The following is a 13279-nucleotide window of genomic DNA, read 5'->3' as shown; positions in this document are numbered from 1 at the left end:
ATAGACCAAGGACAGCAGTATCAGCTTCTCACTTGTCAGTGATCCTTAGAGTTTGTTGAGATAATAATGATGATAGCATGATAAAGACAAAAGTATTACATCTGTAAATGGTTCACCATGATATGGCTATTGCAAAAGCACAAACATTGAAGCCACACAGACCATTGCTCTCAAACTGTGTTACTTACCATAGCAAGTACTATACCTTGATTAAGGCATCAAATTTTCTGAGCCACAAAACTGTGGCTGCACCTTTAGAATGGAGATAAAGTTGTTGGAAATATATGTAATTTAAATACATAAAATGCCATAACTTACCCAGGAATATTCAATTTATGATTATCATTATCATCCTCACAGGTAATTAATAAGAAGTCCAGTGGCTCACACCTGCGATCCCAGCACTTTGGGAGGCTGAGATGGGCAGATTGCTCGAGCCCAGGAATTCAAGACCAACCTGGGCAACATGGCAAAACCCCATCTCTACAAAAATACAAAAATTAACCAGATGTGATGGTTCATGCCTGTAGTCCCAGCTACTCTGGAGGCTGATGTGGGAGGATCGCTTGAGCCTAGGAAGTCAAGGCTGCAGTGAGTCATGATTGCTCCGCTCCACTGCACTCTGGCCTTGATGATAGAGTGAGAACCAGTCTCAAAAAAAAAAAGGTCATTTTCTAAGCATTTGTTGATTCAATACTGCCCACTATGTACACTGACAATTAGACATAATTTAATTTCAGCTCATGGTATGAATGGAGACAAAATGAAATCATTTTAATGCACATTAAGGCAATATAGTGCCCTTAAATAAAAAGTTGAAGTTCATAAGGGACCATCATTAAGATTTAACTTTGTAACAAATATTTTGTTTTTGTTTGTTTTATTTTTAGATTTGCATAATAAAACATTCATATTCTTACCCAGTCTTCCTTGTGATGAATAACATATTTGGAAGATGGCCACACTGTGGAGCAAAGCCGGAACCCAGCTAATAATGTGTGGGCTCCATTTAGTGTCTAACTGTAGTGTATAGACTTTGAATTTTATTCTAGGCGAGATGAAACCCATTTGGAAACTCTGAGCAAAGGAGTATAATGAACTAAATTTACTTGAAGAGACTTATTCAGCCAATGTGCAAAGAAGAGATTGTAAAAGGGGCCGGGCTGACAGCAGGGAAACCTTTGCATCATCATGGCATTAATAAAGGAGACACATGATAGTGGTTTGGACTTAAATGGCTGTGGTGGGAGGTGGTGATAAATCGTTAGATTCTGGGTCTGATTTGAGGGTAGGGCTTCAGAATTTACTGGTAGATTATAGTTTGGTGTGAGAGAAAAGAGAGGAGTCAAGGCTGACTCCAAGGATTTTGGCCTCAGCAATAGGAAAAATGATGTTGTCACTTTCTAAGATGAAGACCAGGGGCAAGAAAAAGAAGTTTTGATGGGAATAGCAAGGGCGCAGTTCTACACAACTTAAATTTGAGATGTATATTATATATTCAAGTGAAGGCGCAGAGTGACAATTGGATTATGAGTGTAGAAATGTTGGTGCAGGAAATAGAAATTTGACAATCATTGGCATATAGATGGTATTCAGTGTCAAGGGACTAGAAGAGATCACCCAAAGAGTGAATGCAGAGAGGAAAATAGATGAGATTCCAGAGACTGGGCCCTAGAGAGCTTCAGCCTTAGGGACCAGGATGGTGAGACGGAACCAGAAAAGGAGAGCAAAAGGCAGACCGACGGAAAGAAGGAGAGCCAGGAGAAAGTGGCGTCTCAGAGACAAGGAAAGAAAGTAACAAAAAAAGATGTTTTAAGGAAAAGGAATTGGTCAGCTGTGTCAAATGACACTAGTAAGCCAAATAAGATGAGGACTGAGGCCTGATCTTTGGATTTGGCAAAGTGGAGGTTTCCTTGATAACCTTGAGAAAAGTGATGCTGGAGAGATTGGAAACATAATCTGGTTGAAATGGGTTCAAAAAAGAAAAAAAGATAAATGGAGACAGGATAGACAACTCTTCCAGGGGTTTTACTCTAAAGGAGAGGAAAGTAGTGGCGAGGGGAAGAGGGAATGACTCGAAGAAAATGCCGTGTCTAAGCAGGGATGCTATTAGAATAACTATGGCATGGGCACTGAGCAGTCAGAAGGGATGCTGCCTATAGGTCTGGAGCAGGGTCTTGGAGGACTTTGCTGGTCCTGGCATTAACCTTTTGGTTTCTGGATTATAGGCTGTCCAGGAGGTCCCAGGGAAGAGGCTAGGTTGGAAAAGGTCAGAGGCAGATACTCGGGAGGCTCAGGGTAGCAGTGCTCACCAACCCATCCAGAATTCTTTCAGTATTTTAGCAATCACCATAATAGTGCTCATGGGCGCTGGCTGAACATCAGCCTTGGATCTATAAAGAGTTGTGTGTGTGTTTTTTTTAATTATCTTTATTTTTAAAGATGAGGGATATTGCAGCATTTTTTAATGATGATGAGAGGGGAAGATTGAAAATTTGATGATGTAAGAGAACAAGGTGAGAATGACAGGAGATGCTTGAGTGGGCGAATGGCGCTGGGACTTGTACACAAGCCAAAGCGTTGATTTTGATAGAAACACGCCTCGTTGTTTGTTCCAACAGGAAGGAGCGCAGAGGGCAGGGGTGCAGGTATAGCTTAGCTGCTTAGTGATGGGAGGTAGAGGGCATGTGGAATTTCTTTCCTGGTTTTCTCTGAAAGACAGGAAATGTATTCACATCCATTTTTTTCTCTTCCTCAGGACCACTACCTATCCACATTTTAACTGACATTCATGTTGAATTCTGGGGAACTCCAGTTACTAGGCCAGTTTTTCATTCAGAATCTGTGCCTACTCAGGAGACTTTCATCTGTGGGACTTCGGTTCCATCTCGTTCCATGGATGATGATCAGAGCCCCCTCTCTTTTCTTCAAGAGCCAGGTAATTTACCATGTGATGAACCCCGGCCCTTTAGCACCCTGAAAGACCTAGCAGGGAAATATTTCTTGCCTGGCACAGTGATATATCCGGGGCCATCGAAGAACCTGACTCAGAATAGGTGTGCAATAAATAATTGTTGAATGAATATAGGAAGGAAGGAAGGAAGGAAAGAAGAAGGAAGGAAGTAAATCAGTTTTTGTCTAGAAGGGCCACCACTAATCTAGCCTAGTTAAATATGTCTCTGCTCGGGAGGTTTGCATCTGTTTATGACTAATTTCTCTGTTGCACGCTCGGCACTCCAAGATTTTTGCCAAGACTCAGAGATTCATCCAAAATGGCTGAAGGATGACAGTGTTTGATTGCTCGTCTCTCTCTCTATCCCCGAAGTTAATATGATGCTTATCTGAGTGCAAAGGCACAGACAGGGAGAAATTTAATGCAAATTTAGCCAAGAGTCTAGTGCCACTTCACAAAATATTGATTAGGTGTCTGATTTGCTCTCCCCTGACAATGGCCATAGGAATAAGCCAATGAGGTGGGCTTCGCTCCAGCTCGTCATGGTCATTCGATAAAGCCAGGCAGCCAATGAGGAGCAGCTACCTTTCGATTGGGCGAGAGGCCAGTGAAGGGGGAACCCATCTTAGCAACAGCAGAAAATATCGCACATGCCCTTGCACACAGGCACAAACACAGACACCGCGCCACCCGCCCTGCTGCAGTGAACGGTTGCTGATTACGTCTCCTAAGGCTTTTGTTTTGCCACAGCCCCACTTCCAAAGGACAAGTTTCTGTTCACAGATCACACTGCTTACCTGGTCAGACAGCCCATAATCCCTTTTTAATGGAATGCAGGGGCAACGGTCCTCTCTCTGCCCTCTCCAACACACATGTTATTAACGGCAAACTTTGATCTGCAGGTAAACGGCACAGGCTTTGTTCTTAGAATCCCTTTCATGGATCTGGCCACACCACTGCCCTTCCTGACCCAACATGCGGACTGAGGAGGGGGTGTGGCGTCGGGGGCGAGCCGAGGGGTCAGACTGTTGTTTGTTTTGCTTCTTGTAAAAACTGCAGAAGGGATTTCACCAGGCTGGAGCAGGCTTCCGTGTCATTGTTATTCTTCTTACAGGCTTCCCCTTTCATTGTTCGGTGGCCTCCACACCCAGGGCCCAGGAAAGCTTTCCTGTTTTCAGTGTGACACTTGGCAACGTCTTTCTTAGCCACTGGGTTCCAAACATTTAGCATTCTCATTTGACTCCCCTCCTCTGGTCTCCACTGTGTTTTTATGTTTCCTGTACAGCTGCCCTTGTTCCCCAGATGCCAGGGGATGGGGGCTGTCTGCCCATCCTTGGTTTCCCCAAATTAATCTCTGCCATGGCCTACTTGCCTGGTTTCTATATTCTCCCACCCCCTATCCTGGCTCCAAGGCTATTTTGAGGCCAGTGGTAATGGTAGGTCACTGGGGTGCATTGTGCTTCCCAGCCTCATTTTTTTTTCATCCATGAACTTGGCTTCTTTGCTCTGACGGCTGGTTTCAGCATGAATCTTTGATCCAAGAGCATCTGACCACGGATTAGCTCATCCTGCCAGTAGCTCTCACTCATTTTCCCTGCTGACAGCTATAATTCTGCCTGGGTAGGAAAGCCTATCAGTTAGGACAACCTACACTCTAAAAGGTGTGTGGCTATATTTTAGATGACACAAAATAAAGTTGAGCTGCTACCACAGGAATTTTTTAGACCAAGAAGGAGTGGTGTCTAGGAAATGGTAGCCAGATGTTTTCCATATGCTTGACTACAAAACAAGGGGAAATGGCATGAAATGGAAGCAGGAGAGAATTAAGTCAGACATGAAGAACAACTTTCTGAATATTAGAGTTAACAGAACCTAGAATGTATTACCAAGTGACCATTTGTCATTTCTTTCTGGGCTAGCTACGATCCCCGTCCCCTGGGGTTTGTGTAGGTTAACTCGTTCACAGATGCAGTGATGACCCATGTGGCTGTGTGGTGCGGGCTTTGGAGTCAGACTAGTCTACATTTAAGTCGTAGCTCTGCCACAATCTAATAACGTGTTAGCAAATTTCCTTTTCTTTGAGACAGAGCCTCACACTATCTCCTGGGCTGGAGTGCAGTGGCATGATCTTGGCTCACTGCAACCTCCGCCTCCCAGATTTAAGTGATTTTCCTGCCTCAGCCTCCCAAGTAGCTGGGATTACAGGCGCCCACCACCACACCCAGCTAATTTTTTGTATTTTTAGTAGGGACGGGGTTTTACCATGTTGGCCATGCTGGTCTCGAACTCCTGACCTCGTGATTTGCCCGCCTCGGCCTCCCAAAGTGCTGGGATTACAGGCATGAGCCACCACACCCAGCCCTGTGTTAGCAAATTTCTTAACCTCTCTGGACCTTTTAAAAAATCTGTAAAATGGAAGTCACAATATCAGCCATATAGGTTTAAATAAAATCATTGTATAAAATGCCTAACTTAGGGCTTAGCACGTAGTAAGCCTTCAAAAATGTTGAATCTTCCTCCCAGTTCTAGAATATTCAGAGCTTCAGTCCATCAATAGACCTATGGTATCAGTATTATTCATTCATTAAAAAAATTTTTAGTATCTACTTAGAACTTAGCATTATGAGGTCTACACATGGTTTCTGCCCTTGACAATTTGCGCATTAGGTCAGAAAATAAGCCAAACAAGTTATGAAATGGTACAACTGAGGCAACGCCAAATTAATGCCAACAGAGGCAGTACATGTAATATGAGTGGGATGTCTACCTGGGTTAGAATCATCTGAGAAAACATTACAGGAAAGTTGAGACTTTCCTACTAGAGCCTTAAAGCGTGGCTAGAACTTGGATAGGTTTAAGGGATGGAGGTGGGGAGAAGTTCCAAGTTAAGATAGTAGCATTTGGCAAGCTCTTAAAAGAAGAAATAGGCCTGGTGCTGTGGCTCTTGCCTGTAATCATAGCACTGTGGGAGGCTGAGAGAGGTGGATCGCTTGAGCCCAGGAGTTTGAGACCAGCCTGGGCAATATGTCAAGATCCCAGTCTCTACTAAAAAGAAAAAAAAGAAAAAAAGCCGGGTGTGGTGGCATGCACCTGTAGTTCCAGCTACTCGGGAGGCTGAGGTGGGACAATCACCTGAGCCCAGGAAGTCGAGGCTGCAGTGAGCCATGATCATGCCACTGCACTCCAGCCTGGGTGATGGGAGTGAGACCCTGTCTCAGAAAAAAAAAAAGAAAATAGGAGAAGAAGAAATTAGTGTGGTTTTTGAAGCAAGACGAAGGGAGAGTTGGTCAGCAGGGAAATGAGACTTAAAATAAATTGGCAAAGAGCTCAGCTGTTAGAATTAGGCTTATTTTGGTTTTAATTCAAGAACTTCCACTTGTGTCCTTGTGACTCAGTTCTCCTAGCTGTAAAATGGGCATAATAATAGTGAGGATTAAATGGTATTAAAATGCAGATAAAATGCTTCATGTGTGTCTCACTGCAAAAACCATGCTTTGATATACACATACTGCCTTCATAACAGGGTAGCCAGGCAAATATTTTTAATGTGAGAGATGAATATTCAAAGGGCATAGCTATGAATGATGGCTGGACGGAATGAACCCTGTGCTGCTTAGGACCTCTATGACAATGACTTTTGGTGTCCTGTCTTCCAGGCAGCTGCTTATGCCCCTACTTCTCTCTCTGTGGATTGTGATTCAGCACATAAAATTTTCCCTTTCATCTCCCAATTTGCATGCTTATATTAGACATGGATTTGGTTAGACCTGCATCTGTTGAGATGGCTCACCAATAATAGAAGCCCCACAGGGACTAGTGCGGTCTGGTTTCAGGAATGGGTCTAGCAAGTGAGGTCTAAGTCAGGAAGTTATTAGCCGCAGAGTCAGGGAATATATTTAGCTGTCATCACTTTTTAATGAAAAATAGCCTGGTGACATGTACATTCCAGCACTCTGATGTAGACAGTTGAGCACCACGCTTCCTCCATGCACTGGCTCCTCCCACAGAAAAAGGTAAGTATCTTCTCCATGGTCCAAGGTCTCTGGGGTATGTCCAGAGACGATGAGAAATTTCATCTTCAGAAGGGAACAGGCACTGTGGTATCCTGGAGCTGGCTCTCAGCAGCTCATGCAAACCAGTTGTGTGTGTGATCTCTTCCTAACTCCACCTTTAGTAATGGAAGGTTGGTGAGAGTGTTTGCAACACGGAAATCTGCAAATGCTACAAATCAGGACTTTTTCTTCCCTGGAGAGCGGCATGGTGAACGTTGACCATCACACCACTGAAAGAGAGGTAGGGTGAATTTCCAGTTGGTGATTCCTACAGATAACCATTGTGGGGTAGGATCTTCCATACTCTAGATTTTGTTCTTTCGTTCTTCGTTTTCTATCACATGACATTCACTTATTTCATTGCTCACATTGAAAGGAAACTTAAGAAATAATGGGCTCATTTTAAGAGCTCACTCTGCTCGACCTAAGTTAAATTCTTACTCCCTAATTACTTATCACATGGTCTTGACCATGTTTACTTAACTGAAGCCTCAGTTTTCTCATCTGTAAAATGGAGCTAATAATAACATCAACTATTTAAGGTCTGTGTGAACATTCAATGAAATCTTCCATGTAAAGCACTTAGTACCTGGCACGAAATAACTAGGCACTAAATGTAGGTGATTGTATTTGACAATATTTATCATTCTGGTTGAGGGACACAATGAAAGTTGACCAGATATAGGCTAACCATGTTCTGTCATGCTTGTAGTAAATGCAGATGTGTAATAAGGACATTATTTGACACACAGTTATCGGAGCCATGTAACAGTGAATTCTACTAGCAGTATGCTACAACACTTAATTAAAATGTTTAATTTATTGCTCTGGTGTTTTTGCATTTAAAAAATGTGCAAAACACAACACAGCGCAGCCCCCACTCCCTTAAATTGGCATAATGCACAAATTATACATTCAGCATCTATGGCAATATGCAAATAAAGCATCAACATATTTGCAGATTCATCATCACAAAGCATTTATTTTGCACTTATTTTCCATATGCACGCCAGAATAACATGATTTTTGATGCGTAGAGTTTCTACCCTTTTGGAGTTTGTGGTATAAAAGAGACAATACTGAGCTCTGTCTCATAGGTAGACAGACAGACAGAGAAATGAAAGAGAGGGAGAGGGAACAAGAGAGAGAGAGCAGATACTCTTAAGGCAGAATAATATTTTTGTACTGAATTAGTTCATAGAAATGTTATTGATCTATGTGGTGACATAGAAATTCATTTTAGATGAGTATGAGATACCCTATTTGGAACCTTATACATGGGCAAGAGATTTCTATTAAATTTGGTTGCATTTGTTGACTAATTTCAATTTGTTTTCCTTTGAATTACAATTTTCTTTTTCAAAGTTATCTGAACCAGAATGAGGAGCTAACTTAGCAAAGACCAGCAGCAAAGTTCACCTAACATTTGGCAGTCTATTTACTCCTAGAAGTCTCCTGATTCCCCTGGTTCCAGTGGTAGCTGGAGATTCAGTGGTTCTGTATTGTGAGCTTACAAACTTCAGGTCAGCATCCTCAGTCAAGATGCATTAGAATCACCTGGAATGCTTATGAAAATGAAGATTCCTAGGCCAAAGTCCAGACCTGTGAATCATGCCTATAGGACCTGAAAGTTTGCATCTCATGATGAGCCTGAGATCATGGTAATCCACCCCAGATAACTTCTCTAGATCCTACGCCTTAACATCACTCATATCCTACGCCTCCTTGTTACTTCTACTGCTGCTGCCTTAGTTCAGACTTGAGCCTGGCTGCTGTAACAGTCTCCTAATTGGTCTCTGAGTTGTCCTCTTTACTGCATTCAAAATAAACTGAGCAAAATTCCAATCTTATGTCAGATCTAGCATAAAATAGCTCCCTATTTTCTATAAAATAGCTTATTCTCTTTGCTAAGACAAATAAGGCCCTCACCAGCCTTTCTCTTCTGCCTCATCCACTCGGTTTGTCCCTTGGGCACTCCAGACATGCTGCAGGATTTTGCACTTCTCTAGACACTCTCTGCTGTTTCACAGCTCCAGGCCTCTGCTCTTGCTAGAGCATCTAACTAGAATGACCACCCCTCACCCCATGGCTGACTCTCTGGCAAACATCTACTTGTCTTTAATGTAGCAATTCAATAATTACCTCTTGCATGATCTTAAGTCAAAATTATATTTTTATATATATTATATTATATTATATATTTCCTAATCTATTCCTTTTTGTGTGTCTGGTTTTGTTCCCCAATTTGTATTTATTTTCATGATAGAACTTACAATATTTTACTGCAGTATTCGTTGACATGCTTGTTTCTCTCTTGAAGCCACAACCCATGCCTTAGGAGTCTTGGTATCTCAAGAAACATATTAATGTTTTCCACAGTAAACGAATGAACTAATGAACTGTGAAATAGAGAGCCTGAATTTTTTTCCCAACTAAATTTGCATCTTAGGATTTGGCTGCATCATCTTGGTGATGCAGGAGTTTTGTCTGAAGATCTCAAACAAGATAAAACAATTTATAGCTTCCATGTGGAAGTGGGCTCAATTCAGCTTTACTAGTAAATACTAAAACTGGATGAAGCTCATAAGATATTTCTTCTTTCCAAGATGTGGAGCTAAAGGAAGGGAGAATGAAATAAATGAAACCAGTGTCTTTGTTACATAACTCTCAAAGTGCATTTTCGTAAATGAACAATCTATATGGCAAATCTAACTGATCTTTATGGAGAGTTATTTTATTTAATTGGTTGATTTAATTTCCTAGCAAACGAAAGCTGAAAATACTATCCCTGAGAACACTTACTTGTTACAAATCCCTTCTGTTATCTAAACCTCATTTATTTCAATTAATTTCCCATCATTCTTTGTCTTTAAGAGTATATAGTATGATTTAGGTATTTCACAGTTTTCTTTCAAGGTTGCAGTTCAAAGACCAAATGTAACCAAAGCTGAAGACTTTCAATTCCACTATCTAAAGCAATTTCAGAAATCAATGCTTGCCTTCATCTGTTGCTGGTGGGAATGTAAAATGAAACAGCCACTTTGGAAAACAGTTTGGCAGTGTCTTAAAAAATTAAATGGAAACTTAGCATAAGACTTATCAATTCCCCTCTCAGGAATCTACCCAATTTTTTGAAATGAAAGTACACATCTACATAAACACTTGTACATGAATGTTCATAGCAGCATTGTTCACAATAGCCAAAAAATGAAATCAACCCAAACGTCCATCAACTGACGAGTGATGAAACAAAATGGAGTGCATTTATGCTATTCAATGAGAAAAAAGATATAGAATACTGACACATGGTGTAACATAGATGAACCTAGAAACATACTAAGGGAAAGAACCCAAGCATGGCTGGGTGCGATGGTTCACATCTGTAATCCCAGCATTTTGGGAGGCCTAGGTGGGCAGTTCACTTGAGGTCAGAAGTTCGAGACCAGCATGGCCAACATGGTGAAACTGCATCTCCACAAAAATTACAAAACTTAGCCAGGCATGGTGGCATGCACTTGTAATCCCAGCTACTCCGGAAGCTGAGGCAGGAAAATTGCTTGAACCTGGGAGGCAGAGGTTGCAGTGTGCCGAGATGGCGCTACTGTCCTCCAGCCTGGGCAACAGAGCAAGACTTCGAAAAAAAAGGAAAGAAAGAAAAAAAGAAAGGAAGGAAGGAAGGAAAGAAGGAAGGAAGGGAGAAAAGGGAATACATATTGTATGATTCCACTTATATAAAATGTCCAGAAAAGACAAACTTTAGACAAAGCAGATCATTGGTTGCCTGGGATTGTCAGAAGATGGGGAGGGGTAGGGCAGGAGCAGGAATTGGTGACAAACAGGCTTGAGGAAATTTTGAGGGGTGATAGGAATGTTCTAAAACTGGATTGTGGTGATAACTGCTAAGCTCTATAAATTTACAAATCATCATTGAATTGTATACTTAACCATGGGTGAATGCTAAGGTATGTAAATTATACTTCAATAAGGTTGGAAAAAATGGTTGAAATTACCACTTGTTTACCTTCATATTTTTATTTCCAGTGATATTACAATTTCATAAACCTTTCCCAGGTTATATAGCAAAAAAGTCTTTAATCACAGAATCCAGATTTTAAGTTAGTTTCTTTTTTCCTCCACAAAACCCTGAGGCCATACCAGTGGAGACATATTCAGACTGTAAAAAAACTTTTTTCTCCTTCAAACTAATTAAGTAAGCACTGATGACATCAGCTGTATTTGCAGTGCACCTGATAAAGGCCATGATATTAATTAAATTGTGGAGTGATTAGAAATGTAAATTACCAGGCTTGGTTTAGCATGGAGCATTGCTGCCCAGCTCCAGGATAGTGGAGGAAATAAACAGCCTCATCTCAGTTAATGGAAGCGTCTCCAGTTGAACATGAGTCTAATGAGAAAATAATATTAACTATGAATGGCTAAAACTTACCTATTCATATGGGGCAGCATTTCATTTACAGAGGAGCACCTTTCTAGTTGTGAGTGCATTGAGAAGCGCCGTGACAGGGCAGAATGACCCCTGAACTTTGAAGTTAGACAGAACTGAGTTCAAATTCTGCCTTTCTTACTTACCAGTTGTATGATCTTTGGCTAATTTAATTTAATTTCCCTGAACTTACATATCTTCATCTAGAATATGAGGTACTATTCTCCATCTCAAAGGATTTGGGGGCTGATTAAGTGAGATCACTTATGCATCACTGGGCCTAGCAGGCAGGAGATGCGTAACAAATGGAATCTATTCACAGGATGGCTTAGATAAGGCAAGGAGTCTTGACTCTTCATTCATTCACCAAATATTAACTACCATTAATAAGTATCTCCCATTCATGTATTCCTTCAATTCAGCAAATATTTTGTGAACACGCGCTCTTTTTCTGGTAAAATTCTTAGTGTTCAGGATGCATCAGTACATTTAAAAAGATAAAAATCCGGCTGGGCGCGGTGGCTCACGCCTCTGATACCAGCACTTTGGGAGGCCAAGGCGGGCAGATCACGAGTTCAAGATATCGAGACCATCCTGGCCAACATGGTGAAACCCCGTCTCTACTAAAAATACAAAAATTAGCTGGGCATGATGGGGCTTGCCTGTAGTCCCAGCTACTGGGGAGGCTGAGGCAGGAGAATCACTTGAACCTGGGAGGCAGAGGTTGCAGTGGGCTGAGATCGTGCCACCGCACTCCAGCCTGGCAACAGAGCAAGACTGCATCTCAAAAAAAAAAAAAAAAAGACAAAAATTCATGCTATAGCAAAGCCCACTTAGCAAATAACCATAAACATAATAAATGACTAAATTTTATATGTGAGATATAGTAATAAGTTTTATGGAAAAACAACAAGGTAGAGCAAGAGGGCTCTAGAGTGAGGGAGGCAGGGGAAATGATGGGTTGCAATTTAGGGTGGTGAGCGGAGGGCTTATTGAGTAAAATGCAAACCCTCAGAGGAGGTGAGAGAGTTAACCACCATCTAGCAAATAGCTAAGGAAGAGCCTTGAAGGCCAAGTACACGTCCAGTACAAAAGCCTTCAAGTGTATCATACAGCACCTCTTCAAGAAGCATCAGAGAGGCCGGTTACCATGCCAGACACTAGATACTCAGCAGTAAACTGAACTTTCAGAACCTAGTTCAAATTCGGCCTCTGTCACTTGCCTGTTGTGTGAACTTTGACTGGTTATTTAACTCCTCTGAGCATATAGCCCTTCACTTATAAAATGAGATTTGCATATCTATTTCAAGGGGTTATCTGTCTCAAAGGAGTAAAGCATTTATTTACCCCACTCATCTCTGAAGCTAGAATTTATAGGTTGTGTTTCAACGAATAGGGACTGTTGTTTTATTTCTGTCTGGCTGTGATTCATTTATCTGTGTGTGTCTTCCTCTTAGGCTGAGCCTGCTCCAAAACTGCAGCAAGGTTGGTAGGGGCAGCTAGGGTATGGGGCAGACTGAAATAGAAGAATGATTCTGAGATGTAAAAGAAGATGTAGCCATAAGGGAGATAAACATTAATGTATTCATTCAGCAAATAGTTACCGAACTAGGTTATAGGCACATACTGCATTGAGAAGAACATGGAACATGATAAAGATTTTTCAATACTGGGATGATAATACATTTTATGCATATATCAATGTGTGTGTGTGTGTGTGCATATGTGTGTGTAGTTTTTTTCAGAATCAACTGTGCACCAAAGGTGACTCAGACATTTATGAAACTTGCCAGAGATTTCTGGTGAATTGTTTTGGAGGTTGAGAGAACA

The 13279-nt window shown here is 41.5% G+C and overlaps 1 long non-coding RNA gene across 4 annotated transcripts in view, besides 1 other annotated feature; it reads left to right on the top strand.

Annotated features, from left to right (window-relative positions):
- Positions 1-13279, top strand: part of MIR100HG (mir-100-let-7a-2-mir-125b-1 cluster host gene) — a 394543-nt gene that overhangs the window by 189095 nt on the left and 192169 nt on the right. The gene's annotated exons all lie outside the window — the stretch shown is intronic.
- Positions 3098-3928: an enhancer, noted in NCBI's record as "H3K27ac-H3K4me1 hESC enhancer chr11:122100557-122101387 (GRCh37/hg19 assembly coordinates)". NCBI's record gives its function as "activates a minimal SCP1, AML or CMV promoter by ChIP-STARR-seq in naive H9 embryonic stem cells {active_cell/tissue: H9 hESC(naive)}" and the evidence as "EXISTENCE:reporter gene assay evidence [ECO:0000049][PMID:30033119]".

The sequence above is a fragment of the Homo sapiens genome, chromosome 11 (genome assembly GCF_000001405.40).
Source record: "Homo sapiens chromosome 11, GRCh38.p14 Primary Assembly".
Taxonomy (NCBI): domain Eukaryota; kingdom Metazoa; phylum Chordata; class Mammalia; order Primates; family Hominidae; genus Homo; species Homo sapiens.
Note: the sequence above shows the minus strand (reverse complement) of the source record. Positions and strands in the feature narration are given on the sequence as shown.